Genomic DNA, 26315 nt, shown 5'->3' with positions numbered 1-26315 from the left:
TAGGGTCTAAGGTAATATTTATTAAAATTTCTTCAGAAAATACAATTTTATTTTTGCAAGTTTTTTTTACAGCTCTTTAGGTCTTAAGGCCCTTTTGTTCTCATGGGCACAACAGTTTTTAGAACACAACTTTTGATAACTCAGGAGTTTTGTAGGAACAAAACCGTCAGGTGGTGGCAGACCAGAGACCCTCTTGCTAGCACATCTAGAGACTGACAATATTTGTGTCATTTCTTATATTGTAAAAATATTTATTTTCCCATGTCTCTTAAAATGAATACTGTTATCACATTTGAGAAGTCCATTCTGACCTGTAACATGGTATTAGCATCTCACCTATTTCCTCTTTTGACAGTTCTCATTATCTTTAAAGACCAATTATTCTTCTAGTGTGCATTAGGGAGTTTTCCACTTCCCTCTTCCTCACCTCATAGATTGCTGCTAAATCTCATCTCCCTTTTTTATGTATAACTTTATTTCAAGCTATGTATCGGTATAAATAGTTAAGCTAATTTTAATTAAAATATTAAGTAAGCTTTCATAAGGCATTAAGCAAATGATTTTAGTAAAGTCCAGATATATTACATCTACTGAATTCCCTTCATCCACTTTGTATTTTGATCAAAGGAATGCAATTCAATGTCTGACATGATCTGTTCTGTATCAGCCCATGCTGCTTATCACCCAGGCTTTTACTACTCTCTGGATGCATATTGATATGGTTTGGCTGTGTCCTCACCCAAATCTCATCTTGGATTGTAGCTCCCACAATTCCCACATCATGAGTGGGACCTTGTAGGAGGTAATTGAATCATGGAGGGGAGGTCTTTCCCATGTTGTTCTCGTGATAGTGAATAAGTCTCATGAGATCTGATGGTTTTAAAAAGGGGAGTTCCCCTGCACAAGCTCACTCTTGCCTGCTACCATGTAAGACATGCCTTTTCTCTTCCTTCATCTTCTGCTATGACTGTGAGGCCTCCCCACCCGTATGAAACTGTGAGTCCATTAAACTTCTTTCCTTTTTAAATTACCAGTCTTGGGTGTGTCTTTTTTAGCAGCATGAGAATGGGCTAATGCAGACATTAGTACCAGAAATGGGGTACTGCTGTAAAGATACCTGAAAATGTGAAAGCAACTTTGGAATTGGGTAACAGGCAGAGGTTGGAACAGTTTGGAGGGCTCAGAAAAAGACAGAAAGATGTGGGAAAGTTTGGAACTCCCTAGAGACTTGTTGAATGGTTGTGACCAAAATGCTGATAGTGATATGGACAATGAAGTTCAGGTTTAGGTGCTCTCAGATGGAGATGAGGAACTTGTTGGGAACTGGAGAAAAGGTGACTCTTGTGATGCCTTAGCAAAGAGACTGGCAGCATTTTGCCCTGCCCTAGAGATTTGTGGAACTTTGAACTTGAGTGAGATGATTTTGGACATCTGGCAGAAGAAATTTCTAAGCAGCAAAGCATTCAAGAGATGACTTGGATATTGTTAAAAGCATTCAGTTTTATTCATTCACAAAGACATGGTTTGGAGTTGGAACTCATGTTTAAAAGGAAAGCAGAGCATAAAAATTTAGAAAACTTGCAGCCTGATGATGCAATAGACAAGAAAAACTCATTTTCTGAGGAGAAATTCAAGCCAGCTGTAAAAATTTGCATAAGTAAAGACAATGGGGAAAATGTCTCCAGGGCACATCAGAGGTCTTCACAGCAGGCCCTCCCATCACAGGCCCAGAGGCCTAGGAGGGAAAAAAATGGTTTCCTGGGCCAAGTCCAGGGCCTTCATGCTTTGTGCAGTCTCTGAACTTGGTCCCCTGCATTCACGCCATGGCTAAAACAGGCCAACATCCAGCCCAAGACATTGCTTCAGAGGGTACAAGCCCCAAGCCTTGGAAGCTTACATGTGGTGTTGGGCCTCTAGTTGCACAGAAGTAAAGAACCGAGGTTTGGGAACCTCCACCTAGATTTCAGAGGCTGGATGGAAATGCCTGGCTGTCCAGATAGAGGTGTGCTACAGGGTCAGAGCCCTCATGGAGAACCTCTGCTAGGGCAGTGAGGAAAAGAAATGTGGGGTTGGAGCCCCCACACAGAGTCCCAACTTGGGGCACTATCTAGTGGAACTGTAAGAAGAGGGACACTGTCATGCAGACACCAGAATGGTAGATCCACTGACAGCTTGCACTGTGCACCTGGAAAAGCTGCAGATACTCAATGCCAGCCCATGAAAGCAGCCAGGAGGGGGTCTATATCCTGCAAAGCCACAGGGGCAGAGCTGCCCAAGGCCATGGGAGGCCACATCTTGCATCAGCATGACCTGGATATGAGACATGGAGCCAAAGAAGATCATTTTGGAGCTTTAAGATTTGACTACCCCACTGGATTTCCCAGAATGCATGGGTCCTGTAGCCCCTTCATTTTGGCCAATTTGTCACATTTGGAATGGTTGTATTTACCCAAAGCCTGTACCCCCATTGTATCTAGGAAGTAACTAACTTGCTTTTGATTTTACGGGCTCATAGGCAGAAGGGATTTGCTGTGTCTCAGATGAGACTTTGGACTGTGGACTTTTGAGTTAATGCTGAAATTAGTTAAGACTTTGGGAGACTGTTGGGAAGGTATGATTGGTTTTGAAATGTGAGGACATGAGGTTTGGGAGGGGCCTGGGGCAGAACGATATTGTTTGGCTGTGTCCCCCCATATCTCATCTTGGATTGTAGCTCTCACAATTCCCACATGTCATGGGAGGGACCCAGTTGGAGTTAATTGAATCACAGGGGTGAGTCTTTCCCATGCTGTTCTTGTGATAGTGAATAAGTTTCATGAGATTGATGGTTTTATAAATGGGGGGTTTCCCTGCACAAGCTCTCGCTTGCCTGCCACCATGAAAGACATCTCTTTGCTCTTCTCCTTTGTCTTCTTTCATGACTGTGATGCCTTCCCAGCCATGTGGAACTATGAGTCCATTAAACTGCTTTCCTTTATAAATTTCCAGTCTTAGGTATGTCTTTATTAGCAGCATGAGAAAAGACTAATACACATATATAATACTTTTTTTCTTAATATCTACTCTGTTATTTTGCTAAGAACTTAAGATATTAATAGCCAGGAAGAGTTTATTTATTTCTAAAATATTTTTACCTTGGTTATTGTTTCCATTGTTTTTGAAATGCTTTGGTTATCCCAATCCCAAGAAATATTTCCCAATGGAAACACAAATGCCATGGGAAATTTTCCTGGCAACTAAGGGTGCTTTATTTAAACCAAAGGTGCTTAATTGCTGTGTTCCACATATTCATTTTTCAGCCTATTGAGTTCAAGTAGCTTATTGATGTTATCATTAATCTTAGGTACCATTCTTATCTTTTCAGCTAATTATCCTCTGATAGAATCGTAACAAAAATCTGTAGTTTCTCAGCCATGTGCCAGTTCAATTAGAGGTTATGTTTGTCTGTTGTTCATTTTAGAGTACTTCTAAATACTTTATGCCAACTCCATGACATATTAAATTATGCCAGCCTCAGCACATTTAAATGATGATTCTATTTATCACTTTAGTGTATTCTTCATTGCAGTAAGTCAAATAACTACTATTTGGTCTCTGGAATTCACAAATCAGCAATGAGGCTTACAGTCTGCTTATTTTATATAAGCTAAAGATCATGACTTGAATTTCTACTAAACAGAAGTAATTTATATTTTATTAATATAACTATTTTTCCATTCAAATACGCTGCAGTTAAAATTAATTGACCCTATTTTAAAGAGTTTCCCCAAAATAAAAATATTGTTTCCACACTTTTGTATATATCGGAGTTTAAAGGGAATGAGAATGTGAACAGCAAGGAATACCACTAATCCCTTTAGAAATTCTCAGGAGTGAACGAGGTAAGGTGTGCATGCTAATATGAGCAGTTTCTCCTCATACACAAAGGGCTAAGAATGTTATGTTTCCTTTTTATATCAAATCAAATCTACCTCTGGAACCTCACTTGCCATGGTCAGCAATGTCAGTCATTTTAAATGGCTTCCTTCCCTCTCACAGAAGCTTATAAAGACCCGTGGGATTACAAAATCCTGTGGAAATAAAGGAGAGATCCTGGTCTCACTTGAAATGCTCATCATGCCTATGCACACCCAAAGGTGGACTGTTCTGCAGATGGCATTCATATCATTAGCATCCAGCTAATCTGTGGTCCCCACAGGACAGCTTTTGGTACACGGTCCTTGCTGACACCTAGACAAATATCATCTGCGGAGTCATGACACCTCTTAGACACTACTTTCTGGTGAGATCCCAGTCTTCACCACATAAATTAACAATCGGTCTCTGGTTCCTTCTTCTCTGAGGAACTCACCTACTTCCTGAAAGGTCAAACCTTCATTTCTCCAACCCCTGGGAAAAATACAAACACCTAGCCTTTCTTTTCCTGGCCCCGTTTTAATGGCACATCATGAAACTTCAAACTTCAGGACCACAAAAGAAATATTCATTTTCCTGGTTTCTTTAGGAATACAATAACTGATCTCCCACCTCCCAAGGAGAATGGTGTGATTATAAACAGAAGGAAAGAAACAATACAGTTGACCTTTCACGTATTACATTAAATGCTTAATAACTCACCTTTTATACAAGGAAACCAAAACAATTATTTTTTCCAAACTGGGATGAAAAGCTTTTGAATGAATTTTAGTGTTTGTGCTTAAAGCTAACTGATACTTCATCCTCCCATTACCTACTCCTATTTCCTGGCTTTCTTCTGTCTTTCCACTGGCTTTTCCCTAACTTTCTGGATAGCTGGAGATGAATTAATGCTGTGTGAGAAGCAGATGCACTAGGCTTTTAATAAACAATAGATTTTTATACATAATGGTGATAAATATTATTTAAGCAATTCACTTGGTTAGAGGGTGTGCTGCTTATGAGGCTAATGTTGCACATTCATTCCTTATCTGAGTCAATTAACTTCAAAGAGAGAAATATCTTTCTGCAAGACTACATCTCTAACTACAGCCAACAGAGTAATTCAACATGATCACTAGAAAAAAACTTTAGAGAACATTTCCTGACAGTTGGTCAATTACATCATTTTAGTATATGACAGACAGCATACTATTATATTATTATTTGCCAGGAAGAGGTGTATTTCTCTGCAGAACTCCAATGCTTCAAGAATAGGAAAGTTTACTTAAGATCAATGCAAATGGAGTTTGTGCTATTAGTATCAAAGTAAACCTAAAATTATTTAGATCCAGTATTAATAAATAAATTAGAATAAACACTGGAATTAAAATATGAAGTGCTGAGTGAGATAATGACTATTTTAAAGAGAGGGGAGGTTAAGATTATTTAAAATGTAACTATTTGTGTAGTTGCATTAGTGGAGAGATATGGCTAATAATCATACCACTGAAGATGTTTATAACTCACTTTAATGCCTTAAGGTGGTTTATAAAATACAAATGCTGCAAAATACTCATTAGTATAAAACTGTATCCTAGCAGTTAATTTTGTTGTTACTGAATTATAGCTTGTTGATTGCTATCTTTGAGTAGCTCATAATGGCAATCCAGGGGAACCCCCAGTGTGAAGAAAACCTGCAGAGAACCCCACCTCTTTCATAAGGATGCAGAACTTATTACCACCTCTAAAAAGTAATCTCTCCCACAACCCTCCCTTGGGGAATCATGTGACCTGATGCTCTCACAACCAAATTCCAAGCAAAAAATAATATTTTTCAGTCACGAAAGTCCAGTTAGTGATATGGAGCAAATTGGTATGAATAGGATATAATATTGAGAGATCAACCTGACTGGCTGGCCTTCCCATATCACCATAACCATTATTCCGGAGCACCACAACCTATAGCCCTTTCTTGGGTAGATATCACCTGCAAAGGTCCAGAGATTTTTAGCGGCTTGTAATCCTAACAGCTCTGGTTCTGGTCTACCTAGGGGGGGGTCCTTCATATTTGTAACCAAAGTTTGAAATAGATACATGCATAGATAGATGATAGATAGATAGATAGATAGATAGATAGATAGATAGATAGATAGATACATACATACATACATACATAGATAAATAGATAGATAGATAGATAGATAGATAGATAGATAGATAGATAGATAGATGGATAGATAGATGGATAGATAGATAGGAAGGACACATATACATAATTAGTTCTATAAAGAGAAGACTGCAGTATTGTGACTTAAACAGGAGACATTTCTCCTTCACCCGTCCTTTACGTCTGGCCTCAATACCCCAAGGGATAGAGTAGCCCAGAAAAAAAAAAAGTAAGAAAAATGATAGGTTCTGTTCCCTTTCTTAGCAAGGATCTCTACCTGGCCAAGGGTGAATTAGAGGCTAGGTAATGCTTTGAGCTGGATGCGAGATAGAATCCTTAAACTGAACTTTGTACACCTGAAAGGGACTGAAAAACAATGAGATCTGTCCAAGTTCTACATAATGGATGAAAAAGGGCATGTCAAGTAAGCATGTTTGAAGTCAATTATTGGAGAAAATTAAGATCTTTTAAATCTATATACAACTGAGTTTATATTGCTGAATATACTGATTAAGATAGACAGGTAGATAAATTTCTATTACATTAACAGGTCTGTAATTTGGGGTTAGAAAATATTTATCTTTTTAAAAAAACTGAACAAGGGAGATTCTATGTGTACTGAGACAGAACTGTGATCTTACATAAATATGGGCAGAATCAGAGCCCAATATTCAAAGTTGCCCTTGAGCAATTATGGGAAAAGATGCTCTTCCCTGCCTACTTTATTTGGCTTGGCTTTTAAGTTAACTATGAATAACTTTACCAGTCACAGTATCAGGGTTTCTACAAAGTTCAGAGCTGTTAACCTTGGGTTGTAAAACCAGGAAAAATAAATCTCCAGATGTCCTCTGGATGCCAAGCTTCCATGATATCATCACCAATTTCAGATCCCAGGAGACTATATTGTACAATCTGCCCTCATTTTCTGATTTTACAGCTAAACTCGGGTCTTCTCACATGGATTAATTACACCTGAAATTTTTTAAGGCCATAAAAGGAGACTATAAGAATATTTAAATTTGATATTGGGATCCCAGATTGCCTCTTGTAATTTCTTTCTCAGGTCACTATGCTGACTTGGTGAAAAGTTTTGGGCAGTATAGCAACACTTGTCATATAGGGCCCATCACCACAGTGCTATGTAAATAGAACTTGTCTTAGGTTATCAGCCACCCTTTGATAAAAGATATTAATAAAAGGAGGAGCTTTATCTTTGGCACCTGAGGCAAAAGTTTTTTAAGGGGTCAGATGGCAACAAATTATCTTCTGTAGTATTCCTTTCCATCAAAAACTCAAGTAACCTTTGCACTCCAAATGGTAGAGGTGCAGGCTGGCTGAAATTCACAAAGCCTGGAAATTTCTCCTATTCTCCTTAGCCCACTGATCTCCCTAGGACCACTATGAATGCAGATAGGGGTCTGGAACAATCCTGAAAGGGATTTAACCATGGAAAAGGATTGCTTACTCAGGCCGTGACATCCACATGAAGGACACTAGTAAGCAAAAAGAAACAAGTGCTATAATGTAGAATGGAGGTTCTCAAAATGTGTTCCTCAGACCAGTAGCATCAATATCACCTTGGAACTTACCAGAAATGCAAATTCTCATCCTCTTATCCCCAGACATAACAAATCAGAAACCCAGCCAAAGGATCCAGAAATCTCTGTTTTAAGAAGCCTCCAGGTGATTCTGACACATGCTAACATTTGAAAATCATTGATCTACGATGCCAGTTATCAGTGCAGAGAGATGAGGAGACTTTCCCTCAGATATATCCAAGAGGTCCCAGTCAGCAACCTGTGACTTAGTGTGGCAGGCTATATTTTCCAAAGATGGCTGGAACAATCTTTCTCATTCCACATGCTCTTCTTACCAGGAACAATCTCTCTCATTCCACATACTCTTCTTACCCTGATATTGACAACCCTTCCATCAGAAAAGCAGATCTATGTCCTCTACCCCTGAATCTGGACAGACTTTTTTTTTCCAGTGTTAACCAAGAGAATGTGGCAGAAATGATGCTGTGAGACTTCCATAGCTCAGTCACAAAATACAATTTAGTTTCTGTCTTCCTTGCTGAAATACTTGCTCCTGAAGCCTTCGACCACGATGTAAGAAATTGGAGTCCCTGAAGCTTCCACATTGTGAGGCAGCCCAAAGTCACCCATGAGAAGGAACCACATGAAGAGGCCCTGACACTACACAGAGAGATGCTGGTCCAGAACCCAGTTGCTCCAAACCATCATTTCACTGCAACTGCATGAGAAACCATGAGCCAGACCCAATCATATGGGCCTTTCTCAAATTCCTGACCCACAGAATCTGTGAGAGATAATAAAAACAGGTCTTGTTTTAAGCCACTATTAGTTAGTTAGTAGATAGCTGAATGTATGGTATTCTGGTGACCTAAATTTGGTTTTTTTCCCCAAATATTGTCAGTTATCCTAATGTCATATATGAAATATTCCACCTTCTATTTGTTCTTTTTAAAAGCCACACCTACTAGGTCAAATATGTTCATATTCTTGTGTCTATTTCTGGACTTTTTCCTTTAAACTACTGATCTCTCTCCCTAGTTCTGCACCTTTTCTACACTATTTTAAATATAGCTGTATACTACATTTTAATAATGAGTAGGACTCTTCTCATCCTGAATTGCCATTTCAGTAGTGTTATCTCTAGTCTGCTGGATGAATTTTAGAACAATTTTCAAGGTCTGAAGATAAATAAACAAAAAAGATTACTGATTAGCTTGTTTTACAATAGTAAGATGTCCCATGGAACTTGATATATTTCTTCATATATTTAAGCTTTCTTTCATGATATTCAATAACTCTTGAGTTTGATTCTTTCCATGCTCCTGAGGATTTCTTCATAAATTTATTCTTAAGCATTTTCTACTTCTGTTGCAAGTGCTATTAGATTGTATCATTTTTCCCCAAAAACGCATACACACATATTTTCTAATAGGCATATTGCAAAAGTATTGTCTGTTTATAACTACCTGACTAAACTCTCTATATCTTCCTAAAGCTTTTCAGTTTATTCTCTCAAATAAACTGAATAGACTTTGTTTCCAAGTAGATGATTATATCTTCTGCAAATAATTATAATATTGCTGCCTCCTTTCTAATATTTATACCTCATTTCATTATCTTCTCTTGTTTCATTGGCTAAAGATTTCAGAAAAAAGTTAATGATTTTAATACATTTAAAAAAATAAAAGTTGTTATATTTATTTAAAGCTCTCTTAGAAACAACCACACCTATACTAACTTTCATAATAAGGAAAGGCAACAAAAAAACCCACATCAAAAATATCCAGTAGCAGTCCTTGGTGGAAGAAAAGTCAGCCAACAACAACAAAAAATTAGAGACAAGTTGATGTAAAAAGATGTCACATGCATAAATAACTATAGTATAAAACTCCATGTTAAACGTCTTCAAAGAGGTTCAAGCAAAATTATATAAGAAGAAAGAAGAAATAACTTCTGACTAAGGGGGATGGGAGTAACCTTTGAGTGAGAGTTTGAAGTATGGGTAAGATTCCAACCTATGAAGACACTACAGGAACAAAGCTGGAAAGAAACAAGACACATTTGGGAAAGAATGAGTTCCTTGGGTTTTGGACAGATTGGAAAGTGATGATAGAAGAAATTGAAAAAATAACCTAAAGAATGCAGGAATGCCAGGCTAACAACACAAATAACAAGAGTAATTTACATGAAATGAGAACTGGCCATGTGCCTGCCAGGTACTGTCTCAAGTGCTTCACTTGTATTATCTCTAAAACAAGAGCTGCAAGCCTAGACTATATGTTTTAGGTCATAGCAGTCTATGTCAGTTTTTCAACAAAAAGATAACATGACCAAAACAAGCATTAAGAATAATAATTGGATAACAACTTTCAGGACTGAAGAAAAGAAAATCCACTCACCACAAAGACATTTAAGAGGCTTGTTAAAAGATGCAATCCAAGTCATATAAGGCTTTCACTCTGTAACCTCTGGCCCCATTTCATACTCTCCCCTCCACCACACATCCTAAACTGATCTAACTACCCTAAACTGGTCTGAAAGTATGCAGTACTCCTTCAAAAGCCTGTGCCTTTTCACATCCCACTTTTTATTTATGCCTGTAAGGCTTACTCCATGCTTCTTTCATTTGTCAATCTTAACCCATTCCAGGCTTGGTTAGTTATTTCTTTCTGCAAACAGTGCTTTTCCCAGATCCCAATGAGAGTAATTACCATGTTATGTTTTAATTGAATGTTTACAATTGTTCTTGCCTACAAGTTATGAGTTATTTGGGGGAAGTACCTGTGTTCTATTTATATTTACATTCCCAACATCAGGTACAACATCTCAGCAGACCTCCAGTGAACACACACATGAAATAAATACCAAGATGGACAAAAGGACCATGGACTAACAGGGAAAATCCAAAACTGAATGCTATGCACTTGTAGTGCACAAAAACACACTTTTGTGATGACCTTTAGTAATGGTCATCAACATCTTCTGTTTTTGTCTATGCAGTTTCTCTCACCTCCTTTTAGCAATAGGCCTGTCATGTGGACCCCCAGGGCTGAGCATGTGACCCAGGATGGGAAAGGGATTGGTTCAAGGGTGGGAAGGCACATAGTTCAGGCTGAGCCAATTGGAATCCTTCCCTGAAAATGACTCTCACTGCAGCTGTGGAGATTTTTTTACCTCTTGGTGATCAAGTTGAAAAAATGTGGATTACTACAATTTGGGTTTCATGAGAACAAAAACATTCTTAGTCTTATTTATTGCAAGACAGTGATGGGCACAAAATAAGCACTTAAGAATATATGTCAGATGAATGAGTCCAAAACTTCAAGCAGCTATATTCTCAGAAACAGTTTTGGCCACTGGCAAATAAGAGTCCTAATAAATTGATAGATAAATCAGTTTAGGAGTTTGATTGCATTAGTACAGTCTTTTCCAAAATGTGCCAAGAAAAAAAAAAAATACACAAAACATTTTAAAATAATTGCCATCTACTATTACTATCACATTTTAATAAGAAGAAACTAGGGAGGACTAACCTCAGAATAAAGAACCATTCTCTACATTTAATTCATTTGACTTTGTGAAAATTTTATTGTCATTGATTCTTTTATTTCTTTGCTCTCTGGCAAAATTTAGATTGGACTTGACCAATTTGTGAAACTAAGGGATAAGGGGTTAAAATGGGTTGAATAATAGCTCCCCAAAAGTTATGTCCAAGTCCTAACCCTCAGTAACTTATTTGGAGAAAGCATCTTAGTAAATATAATTAGGTTAAGGATTACAAGATAAGGTCATCCAGATTTTGGGTGGGCCCTAAATCCAATAACAAGTCTCCTTATAAGAAGAAGGGAGAGGGAGAATTGAGACACTGAGTCACAGATGGGAAGGCCATGTGAAGGCAGAGATGAATTAGAGTTATGTGTATGCAGTAAAAACCAGGGAACATCAAGGATTGCCCAAAGCCCCCAGAAGCTAGGAGAAAGGGCTGAGATGCATCCCCCTTAGAGCCTCCAGAAGAAACCAACCCTGCTGATACTTTGATTTCAAACTTCTAGGCTCTAAAATTCTGAGAGAATATATTTTTGTTGTCCTGAACCACCCAGTTAGTAGTAATTTATTACAGCAACCTTAAGAAACTAATACATGGGGTTATTCAAATTGAAGAATGAGAAAAAAAACAGCATCATGAAAATGTAAGAAATTGTAGGAATATATGGTCTGAGAAAGGCCATTGTATTTGGTATTTTATGTCAGAAGAAGAATATCAAAGTGACAATTCTCCCAACTTTGCATTTCCTTTAGCTGAGAGCTGGTAATCATACATAGCCATAAGCTACATTTTTAATCAGACTTGTTTGATGAAATTTATACCTGATCCAGAAGCCACAATGATAACATTTTCTATTATTTTCCCTTTAAAATCTCACTTATACAAAATTGTGATCATATGGAAAGTAACTTCACATTTTTTCTGTGCCTATATTATCTATAACTCACATTAGTATCTTTATTTGAACAGATGTGTAATGTTTTATTACACATCTGTTCCAATAAATGAATGACCATGAATGAAAGTAAAATTCAAGCCTATTGATATAGACTACTTATTTGCCATTGCTAGATCATGAAGTGACCTACATCATCAATCATAATCATGTATACATTTTTGTTATAGACAAAAAATTTTAAATTTAATACTAATCTTAAAGTTTGTCTTAATATGCAGAAATAAATGAGTATATGTGACTCTAGGTTTCTGTAAGATAAGTGCAATATTTTGTTCTAACATCTTCCCATCAAACATAGTAAAAAACTTGGGTGGTTGTTGTTCTGCAATCTGACATTTAAGCCTATGTTTTTAAAATTTTTATGTTTCTCATGTTTCTGATTCATTATATTGTGCAACGAAAGCATCTCTGTTTCACTTAGCATTCTGTTGAATCTGCAGAGATCTTGCTGCTTTAAATGTATATGCACTGTTCTTCCAGCATAAAAATCAGCCATTAAGTTGGAATGATGGAGCAGGGATTTCTGGGTTTTATAGAGATTAACAAGGCTTACTTCTACCTACAGAGACCATCTAACTGACAGACTGCACATTGATGACCAAATAAGAGATTGACAGATGCAAGGAACTCTCACGTGCTGTCAGATATCCATTGAATTTTTCCAAATATAGTAAATGATCTTTGGCTTTTTAAGAAGCTGTTGAGTAAGGCTACCATCCATTGATTACTAAAGGCACTAGGAACAGTCCTTAACCAAGATGTGGATGGATAGTTATTTAGGAAACCAAAGGCTAGAAAGAGAGGTATTTAGTATTAATGAGGTTATAGAGTAACTTGATTCATTACAGCTACTAGCTGAAATTGAATGGAACAATCAAAGTTCATTACTAGGCCTGATTTCCTGAGCAGGAAAGAGTAAAGATACTGTGTATATGAACCTGTTCCTATACCTTCATTTCTGCTCTTCTTTTTTTAAGATTTCTTGCCAGTAAACATTATCCACTTCCTATTTTCTCTTCTTAGGACAGCAATGTACACTGAAATTCCAAAAGAAATCATTTATGGAGTATATAGTAAAATCAGACAACTATAATTGCTCATATAAACAACTTATTTAATACAATCTTACTTAAAAAAAAAAAAACTAGCATTACCTTAAAATCCATTCAGACACAAAATGCAAAAATACCCATGAAGTTAGGTTGCTATTTACTTTTCATGACCAATACCATTAAAACGAAATTCGAAGAATTCAATTTATGTAAATTTTTTCCATTAAATTATTCATAATAGGAAATTCTCTCAACCTTTCTGAAGTGAAATGAATGCAAATTTAATTCATTAGATGACTAGACTGGTATAAAATCTTAGAGGAAATGTAAATGGTAATTGAAAATATAAAAATGATATTTGTTTGGTGACACAACAAATCAATCAGCATAAATTGTCAAGCGTACAAAACTATTACTAGAACGTGTTCTGTGTTTTCCCTTAAAAGGCATTTTTTTTCTCTTTAAGGTGCATATTTTACAGGAGAATAAATGAAGTAGAAATTGTAGGTTCAATTGATCTGAATGCCATGAACCTTGCAAGACCACCATATTCCCTCCTCTCAGAAGAGGCCCCTAATGAAGGCACTGCTGAAGACAGGAGACCTGACTTTTATCTTGGCTTCTCCTAACAATTCTGTGACTTTGGCTAAGTCACAAGACTTCTGTAAACAAATAGTATACATGTAAAATGCTAGCCCTACATCTACCAAAAGGATTTCATAAGAATAAAGTGAAATAATGGGTTGACAATGCTCAGTAAATCATAAAATACTACGGAGCTGGCATGCTTTAGTAACTACACATGAATTCCAGGCTGCTAGCCTAGAAGTCTCATAGAATTGAACACAAAATCTACCCAGTCTTTCCTTGGTTATCCTTATTCACTAGATTTCTGGAAAGTATAAAGCTCGCTAACACTCAAATGCCTTCTAAGTCTTTGTATAGTCTAATTTAATCACTATGACAAACTAGAGTGATAAATTTTCCTATCTACATCTTACAAATGAAGAAAAGGACTCACATTGACTAACTTGCCTAATGTCATTTAGTAGAATAGAAGAGATGACATGTAAACCCAGCTTTGTCTTGTTACAATACCCCAACTTTTTCCAACTAAATCTATAGCCCATCCAAATTTTTCCTTTTGGCGAAAGTGCATATTCAGAAGTAAAATATTAACATAACCACAATCCTCTTCCGTATTCAAAGGTAGCTGCTTCGTTTCCAAATTGTCAGACTCCAACCATTTCTGAGCGCCAACCACCCCCATCCCAGGAATTCAGGTGTCACTGCCGCCATCCAGTGAATTACAAGGCATTGATATGCCATGGGCACATTTCCATCTGTCCTTTTAAACTCCTGCTGAAGACACCAAACAAAGCTGCCTCATGAGCCCAAATTTATCTAAATCATAATAAGCCTTGAAAACAAAGCTGTGGGATCCCAAACTACACTATTGCCATGACAATTTGGTAAGGGTAGCTGAAGATGAGCAAACAGTTGTTGAATGAAGTGGCAGAAAAGTGTATAATGAATTAAGAACCTAAGCTGGCTCTAACCCATGTGCTTCCCATCACTGGCAAGTAGGTCATGGATAGGGTGCACTGTCAGGCCTCTGAGCCCAAGCCAAGCCATCGCATCCCCTGTGACCTGCACATATACGCCCAGATGGCCTGAAGTAACTGAAGAATCACAAAAGAAGTGAATATGCCCTGCCCCACCTTAACTGATGACATTCCACCACAAAAGAAGTGTAAATGGCCGGTCCTTGCCTTAACTGATGACATTACCTTGTGAAAGTCCTTTTCCTGGCTCATCCTGGCTCAAAAAGCTCCCCCACTGAGCACCTTGCGACCCCCACTCCTGCCTGCCAGAGAACAAACCCCCTTTGACTGTAATTTTCCTTTACCTACCCAAATCCTATAAAACGGCCCCACCCTTATCTCCCTTCGCTGACTCTCTTTTTGGACTCAGCCCACCTGCACCCAGGTGATTAAAAACTTTATTGCTCACACAAAGCCTGTTTCGTGGTCTCTTCACACGGACCACATGCAATGCACCTAACACAAAGAAGGCACTCAATAAATGATCGTTTGCATGGAATTAAAAAGTGAAAAAGACACAATTCTTTCTTTCTAATGATGTCTACAAAGCTTTCAGAGATTCAGGACTCCTTGCTGCTATAGCACAGGAGAATATATATATAAACAAAAAATATTTTGTTTCTTTGGCCAGGAGTAGGATGAAGAGAAATTATCTCAAAGGAGAAAAAGTATAATTAAATATGGATTTTAATCACAATTTAAGTTTTGTCTTATAGGGTCTGTTTTTTTCTTCAAAAACAAATCCGTGTATTTAGCACTAGGTAAACATTATGTGTCATTGATTTTGTTTGTTTGTTTTTATTGTTTAATATTGTTGTCATGGGATAATTTTGTTTCAAATATCTTGTAAAGATCCATTCAAATGTAAAACACTGAATACTTTAATACAAAGTCATTGAAACCTTATCATTAGCCTTGTTACTCAGCAATTGAGTGAGCCAGCACTTCAAAATATCTAGAAAACCAAATTCATGACCTCAGAAAAAAGCAATAATTGTTTTGCAGATTAAAATCCTTTTCCTTACTCCAGCCAGTAACTTAATTTTCAAATGTAAATGTGGTGTGCAATGTGAGTAACCTAAAGGAGGAATTACGCAACATTTTGCCTTAGTGCCAGTGAAATATCTCTAGTTGACAGTTATTAATTTCTAGTCAAATTATCCTGGAATAGGGTCAAAGAGAACTAATGGTTTTATTTTACATTCTACGAAGTGTTGCGTTTCAGCATTCAGAATGCAGTGCTCTGGAAAGAGAACTGCAGCAGAATTTAGGAGACCTTCGTGCCCTCTCTAAAAAATGTTAGCCAGATTAATAAGTATATTAACCCTTTACCATTTCCAAGGCACTTCCCACAATCTATAATGAAATTATCAAGCTATTTATTCTTGATCTTCATTGAGTAAAATGTACAAAATTTTAACTTTCCTAAAAATATAAATATCTAATTATGTAGCACTGACCAACGATTAAAAGGACTGTTGCTGTTTTCATTCACTTTGCAGCTTGTGTTTTATTTTTAATTTGGAATTTTAGCATACTAAATATGCATATGGAAGTTAAGGAGATCTAAAGTATTAGTTATATAAAGCTCATTTTCCCCCTCAGTTCCCAATTAGATGATCTATGTGATATGGGTTGTACCATAATAAAATTAATTATTCAACTGATATGTAATCCTTTTAATTGGCTCACAGAAGTTTAAACAAATTTTGTTTTATGTTATGGCATGCAAATAATGCCAAGTAATTTGCTTTTGAATTTTACAAAATTCCAGTACAAATCCAGGCATATAAGTTAGATAAGTATATGGAAAATGTTGCAGTTTGATCTTTGCAGGTGTAATATAACCAATGGCATGGTACAGTGGAAAGAGCAGATTTCAATTAAAAAGATTTAATATCCCTGTTCTAGCTCTGTTAATTTCACCTTGGGCAAGTCACTGTTTCTCTTTGAAGCTCGGTTCCCTGTCTAAAATTTGTTTGAAAATAATAATAAGTATTATAGCGACACACTTTATTGTAGCATTTAAGAGAAATATCTAGAAAAGTGCCTTTGCTAACTGTGATGCACTCAAAAGATACTTTTAACAGCTTTATTGATATATAATTCATTTGCAGTATAATTTACCCATTTAATGTGTACACTTCAATGTTTTTAGTATATTTGCAGGATTGTGCAACAACCACCACAACCTACTTTTGAACATCTTTGTGTCCCGCTAAAAGCAACCAATACCCATTAACAGTCACTCTCAATACACTCCCCCACCCTCATCTCAAGGTAACCACTAGTCTACTTGCTATCTTTATAGGTCTGTCTATTCTGGACATTTCATAGAAATGGAATCATACATATATACATAACATGTAATCTTTTGTGACTATCTTCTTTCATTTAGCTTAATGTGGAAAAGGTTTATCTATATTGTAGCATGTATCAGTATTTCATTCCTCCTATTGCCAAATAATATCCCACTGTATGGATGCACTATATTTTATTTATCTACTCATCAGGTAATAGACATTTGAATTGTTTTTACTTTTTGACTATTATGAATAACGCTGCTATGAGCATTCATGTACAAGTTCTTGTGTGGATACATGTTTTCATTTCTCAGGTATATGCCAAGGAGTGTGACTACTGGATTCTATGATAACTCTATGTTTAGCATTTTAAGGAACTGCCAAACTGTTTTTCAAAGTGGTTGTGCCATTGTACATTCACTAGCAACTTATAAGAATATCAATTTTTCCATACTTTTGCCATCACTTGTTATTGTCTATCTCTTACATTATAACCATCCTAGTGGATTTTAAGGGGTATCTCATTGTAGTTTAATTTGCATTTCCTTAGTAAATGATGATGCTTATTAATCATTTGTATAACTTCTTGGGAGAAATGTCTAACACTTTACCCATTTTAATGGGTTATTTGTTATATTGTCATTGAATTGTGATACTTATGTAATCTGGATACAAGTTCCTTATCAGATATGTGGTTTGATAACATTTTATTTCATTGTGTGGATTCTTTTAACTTCCTGATGTTATTATTCATACCACAATGTTTCACTTTGAATGAAGTTCAATTTATCTTTTTTTTTTCCTTTGGTTGCTTGTACTTCTGGTATTAAATCTAAAAAGTCAATCATAAAGACTAACTCCTAAGTCTTCTAAGAGTGTTATAGTTTTATCTTCTTACATTTGGGTTCAATTTTATTGTTTTGTCAATTTAACACGTATAAGCCAATACATTAATTCTAAGCCAATGAATACATGTTCATTAGAGAAAAATCAGAAAATATGTACATGAAAAAAAATAAAACAAAATACATTCATAATTCTATTTATTCAAAAACAACTACTTCTAGCCTGCTGGTTTATGCTTCCAAACCCTATTTTCTGTGAATGTATTCTAATTTTTGTGTATATATGTATAGGTATGCATGTATACATTTTAGTGGGATTACATAATGCACATAGTTGTGTAGACAGGTTTTTTTCTTTGATATATTGTAAACATATTTGCAGATCAGTTTTTTGGACTTGGCTTTTCTGAACTTCAAGTGTTTCAGCTGCATAAGAGCAAGTACTTGTGACAATCAAATGAAATAATGTTATAAATGCACTTTGTAAGACTTCATCTACAGGGTAAATTAGCTTTATTCTATTATTGTATTAGTCTTTTTTGTTAAAATACTTTCTCCAAATACTCTATAAAATCCCTTATCACATTAGATTATTAAACTAGTAAGTTTTTAAAATATCTATATCTCCTGAATTCTTCAAGACTAGCAGTCTATATAGCTTTGCGTCCCCGGGGCCTGTCATAATTCCTGGACCAAAATAGTGATGAATAATTGTTGGAATTAATATGTATTATCAACACCTCTGAATATTTTAGAAATGGTACACTGTTGTTCTTTGATCACTGATTAAATTATCAAAAGCTTGCTGAATATATGATTATTGTATCTTTCTGATAGACTGACTATTTTATCTTTATAAAATGTTCCTCTTTATCATTAGAAATATTTTTTGGTTTTAAAGTCTACTTTATCTAATATTAGCACAGCCACTTCAGCTCTTTCATGGTTACTTTTTGCACAGTATATATTTTTCCATCTGTTACATACAAAGTAAGTCCCTTCAACCAGAACTATGAAGCCCTTCATCCTCATGGTTTGCCTTCCCTTTGGGCAGAACCTTAGCACCACTGCAACAGAGCTGGGAATGGTGGTCTCTGGTCTTCTCTGCTTGCCACTCCTAGTGTGGAACCTCTGTAATCCAAAAGAGTTGGGCTGGCAAGCAAAGCTTTGTCCGGAAGCAGAAAAAAGACAGAGGGTTCCTGTTTGCACAGTACTCACCTGACTCATTGAGTTCCCTTTAAGTGTGAGGAAACAAATACAGGAGTCAGGTCTAGGAGGGTGGTCGAATCAATGGATAGGCATCAATTACATGGCCAGCCAGCTGCTAAGGTTCTAAAATTTCATTAGTTTTGAAATAAAGCAACACTCCTTTTGAAATTTTTTGCCTTATGAATGTTATGTTGAGATTTAGGCACTATGTGTATGAATCAGAAAGTATTATGAATGATTTAAAAATAGTTGAAAGAAAAAGGAAAAAGAAAAGAAGTTGGTGTCAACTCTCAACCATTAAGATTATCTCTACCTTTGGTTGTTTTGACTATACTATTTAGAAAACTGATAGTAATGAAAATGTTTCTTGTTCAAAGTTATGCAAATAATTCCTGTTCATACAAATGCAAATAGACTTTGTCCAAAGGAAAATATAAATTGTTGTAAGTTAAATTCTCCTTTTAACCAGTCGTAACATCTTACTGGTTCTCATTAATTAAAAAGTTAAATAAAATTTTTGACATATATTCATTTCATATTTGTAGGAGTCATAATTTTCTCTTTTTAAAAATATTATCCATTAACACAAATATTGAACATTATTTGGACAACATTATTGCTGTTATCCTGATCTTTCTGTCCTTTATTAGTTTTCTCTCCTTTCCTAACCTTTCTTTCCTTTTCACTGAGCTTAATCTGCAGGGCAAGAAATAAACAATAGCAGACACATTGAACATAGATGATGCACAAGGGAAACAATGGCGATCATCATCAGAATACTGTCATGTCAAGAAGAAGCCATGTTACTGAGAAGAATGTTACTAAAACTTTTAATGTCATATGCTAAAGGTACACACACCCAAAAGATAGATATGCTACTTTATCAGAAAGTAGATAGATAGATAGATAGATAGATAGATAGATAGATCAATCTTATAGAACTTAAAATCATTGTGGTTCTAGATATTACAAAGCTCATATTTAAAAATATTAATATTGAAACTTTAAATAGTTAAGGTTTTAAAATTAACTGGAAAAACATCCATAAACTGTTCCCCTTGCAGTTGTTATAAATTTTCAACCTCTTAAATAATGTCCTTATCATTTATTCTTTTTTAGGCCTCAACAATGTCTACGTCTTGATCCTGGAACATTTTTCTCTGATTTTCTTAACCAACAATTCAATGATAATAAACATTCAAGCAGCATGAAGGATTTAATCAACACTTGCATAAATGCATCAGAAAACACACTGTATAAGCAGAGATAACTGTAAGCAAATATGTACTGTTCTTGTAAGCCATAATTTGTTTGAAAGTAAGTTAGTTCTGGAATAGAGTATAAAGTAGTTATTTTAACCTTAAGTGAAAGCAACTGGTCTCCACCTCTTACCAAGTTGAATCTTAACAGAATAAACATGTTTACCCCTATTTTAATGTAGCAAGAATCTTTACACAGAGAAATCAGATCAGTGAAGTAAATCATCAAATACATTAGCTTATTAGATGATCCAAAATCATCTCTATCTTTTCCAACAGTTAAATTAATTTGTTTCCTTGCCTTGGCATTTATGAATGTTAATTTAATCACACAAACTTAGACTTCCTGTGAGAGAATTTGAAACCACATTGTGAACATGATTTTCACATAGGGTTTGTTCCTTTTCCCCAAATTAGAAAATAAAATTTAAAAACTGCATGCTTGTATTAGACCCTAGGCAAAATCAGCATAGGCCTGCCATCTCCCATTACATTGATTCAGGACTCTGGGGAACCATGTCACCATCTGGACGGGAGTGCATATGGTCAGAGGGAGGCCTGGGAGAGTGTCCTCAAGAAGACCCCAGCTGGCTGAGCAGCCACCTGTTACTGAGATGAGCGAGGGCAAAATAGATCATATTCATCACAATCCATCTGCTTATAATTTCCAAATATTCAGTCCTGTCATGGCAGGGTACAGCTTCAACAGGAGAGGACTGACTCAGAGAGACCAAGACCACAAGTCCAGCTAAGCAGAAGACATGTGGAAGATCCTCTATGATGAGAAATAGACAAGGAGGCCAATCTGAAAAGGTCAAGAAGGCAGGGGTAGCAGGCTCGGAGCCGCAGAAAGGCAGGGATTATCTATGGCATAGGAGCCTAGTGAAATCATAAGAATAGCATTGAAGAAGAGGGTTGGGGGTTTCAGACTCTAAGAAGAGTGGGATGTTTTAACAACCTGCTGAACACAACTGTCTCCGGATTCAGAAATGTTGATCGTGGCTTCAAGACGGGCATATACACAAGAATTAATTCACCTCCTGATTAAGGCATGGATATAGAATCTAGGATTGATAGTTTTCATGGCAAACAATAATAATTAATAACAGTCAATAAGTATATCGCCCTTCATAAGTACTTTGCATATATTTACTAATTTAATCTTCACTAAAACCCTGTGAGATAGATACTATTATTATTCCCAATTTGCAGATCAGAAAAAAATAGATGCAGAGGATTTTAGTAACTTACCCAAATCATATAAGTAGTAGAGCTAGATTTGAAACCCAGCAGTCTGTACTCCTAAGCACAACAGTTTGCCACTGCCATTCATTTTACTTTCCAAGAGGCTGCAATGACTGAGCTCATCTCTTCCTATTTTATACTCTCATTTCCCTATCTAACCTGTTTTACCCTGATTTTCCCTGTCTCTTATATCATGAATATCAGGTTGGATATTCATGTGGAACCTGAACAATAACTGCAAATACATGGAATGTGCCCTGCCCCTCCTCCTCCGAACCCATTTGTTTAAGTTGAAATGAGGAAGGACTCTTGTTTTAGGTTCAAGGGGAGATTTGACTCTTGAATGTCTGAACTGTGTAAAGGGTATGAGGGATGTGGGTGTGTGAATGTGTGTGTGAGTGTGTGTATAAAGGGCAGAGGGTGGAATATGGAAGGTAGAAATTAGCGAATAGCTGAAGGTTGAAGGTAGAAGCTAGAAAGGCTATGTTTAAGAGGAACTCCATGAGACTTAACGATTTACACAGGCCTAGTAAAGCCCAAGCGCTAAAATGTGGGACAGTTATGGAGGGGGCAGCAGAATGGTCTGAGATGCTCAGCACGGCACCAGCACCAGCGACAGTGCTGAGACACTTCCAACAGTGACTCATGAGCAGCTGACATCAGAGACAAAAGCAGATTAATGGGATTCTTCTTCAGACTTTATAAGAACCCTCCCAGAGATGCCTAGAAATAAACAGGGGAGATTTAAAATGGGAGAAGGAAAAAATTGATGTCCCACAGTTGTACAGAAAAGCGCTACAAAGCAGCAAAATGCAGGCATTAATGTTAATGTGGCTTCATTGCTTGCAGAGAATGGTGAGGCCTGCAGATATCCTAGTTTGCTGTATACAAAGGAATAGGGAAGAGTAAGTGCAATGCAACATAAACCATCCTGTTCCATCATGTCAAACACAGCTGCTGACATATTCTGCTAATAAAGGGCAACATAGACATTTTACCAGAATTGCTTATAATCTATTGGTGCCTTTTTTGAGGTTTATTTTTGTAATTATTGCATAAATATTTAATTCTAGCCATATACTAAAGTTGCTGTCCTTTTTATTAGGGAATTCTATCTCTTATTGTGCAATTTTTTTGTGCTTTTTTCTCACTAGTATTGACATATGGTACCCAACCTTGTCACTCTAGACAAGGTTCAATTCAAGTCCTAAAGAATTCAACTGTGACCTTTTAATTGTCCCACTGAGCTTGTGCTTTCTTTGTTTGCCTAAAGTCAGATTCCAAGGATCAGGTTACATGGGATAAAAAACAGAATAAGCATTTTTGATCTAAGCTAATGTGACTGGACCTTATGTAATAGCCCTGCTGTCCTCCCATTTTCTATTTTGCACATATCTTTTCTGGTCATCAGCTATAACAGGCAATCTTAGGGGGGAAACAGCCTTTTAAAATTTCTCAAAAGGATGAAGTATGAGCAGATGTCCAAGAGAAAGATAAAATAACATTGCAAGTAAAATGTAGAGATTTATTGATTCACTTTAGCAAGCTGTAATAGAAAATGTTGAGAACCTTAGTGTATAACACTAAAAGAGAAAGGTAAAAAGTCTCATTTTCATCCCATTGTGTTCAATAAATCATGTAGTTCCAGTTGCTTTCAACAAGTTTCTTTACTTTGAGTTGTCATTAGTGTCAAGTTCAATTCATCATATGCAAAATACTTTCTCCTATATATATTATTATATGTAGATAAACATATTATATATAAGTATTTACATGTTGATTTGTAGAATGTAACATTTCATGTTAAAATAAAGCTATTACACACAAAGCAATATAATTATGTATTAATTTTCTTTTTTAAAATTTTCATTTTGGAACAGTAATAGAATAATTACCCCAACAAAATAGAATTCCATGGGAAAAGGGATAATAATGAAACACAGTCCATATTTTTCTATTAAAAAAGAAGTATATGGCTGGTGTTGAAAAGATCAGCACTTTCTATACATGCTGACAGATATATAACCAACAGGACATAGATAACCTGCTAACAGGAATTATATATAAATATGCATTGAACACCTACTAGGTACTAGGCACTATGAGGTTACTACAAATAAAGTTTCTACTCTATGATTAGTGAAGAAATAGACATGTAAACAACTAACTCAAATCCAAGACAGAATTAAATAACAATCAGTCCTGCTGGGTGTGGTGGCTCACACCTATAATCCTAGCACTTTGGAAGGTCGAGGCAGGCGGATCGCCTGAGGTCAGGAGTTCAATACCAGTCTGGCCAACATGGTGAAATCCTGTCTCTACTAAAAATACAAAAAAGTACTTGAAGGCTGTAATCCCAGTAATCCCAGTAATCCCAGCTACTTGGGAGGCTGAAGGAGGAGAATCACTTGAACCCAGGAGGCGGACGTTGCAGTGAGCCCAGATAGCACCATTGCACTCCAGCCTGCATGACACAGCAAGACTCCATCTCAAAAAAAAAAAAAAAAAATCTGTCCTTTGGCATAATAAGATATCATGCCACACCTGTTAGGATGGCCACCATCAAAAAACAGAAAAATCACAGGTGCTGGTGAGGATGTGGAAAAATTGAAACCCTTGTGCAGTATTCGTGGGATTATAAAATGGCACAGCTACTGTGGAAAACAGCATGGAGTCTTCTCAAAAAATTAAAAACGGAACTACCATAAAATCCAATAATCCCGTTTCTGGGTATATACTCAAAAGCATTAAAAACAGGATCTCAAAGAGATATTTGAACATCCACGTTCATTGTAGCATTATTCAGAATGTGAAAGCAACCTCAATGTCTATCAATTGATAAACTGGTAAAGAAAATATAGTATGGACATACAATGGAATACTACTTAGCCTTGTTTAAAAAAGGAAAATTCTGTCATATGCCACAACATGAATGAACCTTGAAGATATTACGTTAAGTGAAATAAGCCAGTCACATAAAGACAAATACTGCATGTTTCTACTTACATGGGATATCTAAAGTAATCAAATTCATAGAAAAATAAGGTAGAATAATGGTTGCCAAGGGCTGGGGGAAGAGGGAAATGGAGAGTTGTTTTTCAGTGGGTATAAAGTTTGTCATGCAAAATGAAACAGTTCTAGAGATCTGCTGTACAATGATGTACATATAGTTAACAATATTATACACTTAAAAACTTTAAAAGAATAAGTTTATGTTATATGTTTTTTAGCATGATAAAACATTTTCTCAAAAAAAAAAAAAACAGTGCTTTGGTACACGAAGGGAAGGGTGCAGGGAAGAGTATTAATTCTAATTCAGAGGATTATAGCTTCAGAGCCGTGGCAGCATTTGACCTGAGTTTTCAATAGTGAGTAAAATTTTGGTGTACCAAAGGGCATGAAAAAGCATGAACAAAGACCCAAAGTGGAAGTTCATGGATTGTTTGAGGAATAAGCAGTCTGAGTGGCTGAAACATACGCTATGGAGGGATTAGCTCAGATCATTTATCAAACAAGTTCCTTGAAAGGACAATAACATCTTTTCCATTATCTGTAACAATTTACAGCTATTTTACCAGCATACAATGTTATTTTATGTCCTCATTGTAAAAATATTATACATCATAGTTTATTTAGCACCCTTCCTAGAAAGTGTGAAGAGAAATAAAGATGGCAAATCCACTTAATCTTGACCTTTTTGCCTTTAAACTTTGAACAGCTGTTTTTCATGGCCTGACATAGGACAAAGCAACTCAACCCAATAAACATAAACACTGAAAATACTAGTGAGGAAAAAAAGTATATAGGAAGCTCATTATATAGTTTCCGATATATATAAGCATACATTTTGGTATTATCAAAGTCTTTTATTCAAAGATAGTTATTGACCTTAAAGACCCAATCTTATTCCTTTCTAATTTGACAATGATACTGAGAATTTAAATAGAAAAGTGGGAAGAAATTGCAAGAAAAGTAATGAATTTAAATTTGGACATGTTTGAGATGCCTAAGGGACATCAGCTGGAAATAATTAATCAATTAAGTTAGGAGTTTTGACCTCAGGAAAGAATTTGACTAGTAGGAAAAACACAGGGAGGCATCAAACAAAAAGTGATTGCTTAATTTATGATTTTATATAATCACCCAGGGAGAATGTGTAAGAGAAAAGAGATAATTTATATAGAAAAAAATAACAGGAAGCACAGCAATGGAGGGGTGGATAGGAGAAGATTCAGGTAAATTGAGAGACTGAAGGTGAGTCAGAAGTGAGAAATACCGTGGAAGCAAAGAGATAGGGTATTAGATGAAGGAAAATGTGGACGAGAGTATCAAATGCTGCAACAGCCATGTAGGAGGAAAATAGAAACATGCTATTGAATCTACCAATTATATGGCTACTTTGCTAGAAAAGAAAGACTGAGAAGACCAGTGAGTCAATTCAAGAGTGTATGGTTCAAAAAATATAACAGACTTGATAACCTGAAACCCTCCCACAGCAAATCCTAAGATATCTGGCTGTAATTTAACATTCTTGAAATGCATTACTAAACTCAGAAAAAAATCAAGTGAAATAATCAGGTGCCAAACAAGATTCCCCTAAACTACCATGTAGTAATATGGAGATCCTCAAACCACCATATAATGACATAAGCCGATGCTATGATTGGGAAAGCGGGGATGGGTCAAAGGGA

General features: G+C 36.1%; 1 protein-coding gene across 1 annotated transcript in view, besides 2 other annotated features; it reads right to left on the bottom strand.

Moving 5' to 3' along the window:
• TRHDE (thyrotropin releasing hormone degrading enzyme) overlaps positions 1-26315 on the bottom strand; it is a 583493-nt gene that overhangs the window by 440539 nt on the left and 116639 nt on the right. The gene's annotated exons all lie outside the window — the stretch shown is intronic.
• Positions 13998-14795: an enhancer, noted in NCBI's record as "OCT4-NANOG-H3K27ac hESC enhancer chr12:72609205-72610002 (GRCh37/hg19 assembly coordinates)". NCBI's record gives its function as "activates a minimal SCP1, AML or CMV promoter by ChIP-STARR-seq in naive and primed H9 embryonic stem cells {active_cell/tissue: H9 hESC(naive and primed)}" and the evidence as "EXISTENCE:reporter gene assay evidence [ECO:0000049][PMID:30033119]".
• Positions 14796-15595: an enhancer, noted in NCBI's record as "OCT4-NANOG-H3K27ac hESC enhancer chr12:72608405-72609204 (GRCh37/hg19 assembly coordinates)". NCBI's record gives its function as "activates a minimal SCP1, AML or CMV promoter by ChIP-STARR-seq in naive and primed H9 embryonic stem cells {active_cell/tissue: H9 hESC(naive and primed)}" and the evidence as "EXISTENCE:reporter gene assay evidence [ECO:0000049][PMID:30033119]".

The sequence above is a fragment of the Homo sapiens genome, chromosome 12 (assembly GCF_000001405.40).
Source record: "Homo sapiens chromosome 12, GRCh38.p14 Primary Assembly".
Lineage (NCBI taxonomy): Eukaryota > Metazoa > Chordata > Mammalia > Primates > Hominidae > Homo > Homo sapiens.
Note: the sequence above shows the minus strand (reverse complement) of the source record. Positions and strands in the feature narration are given on the sequence as shown.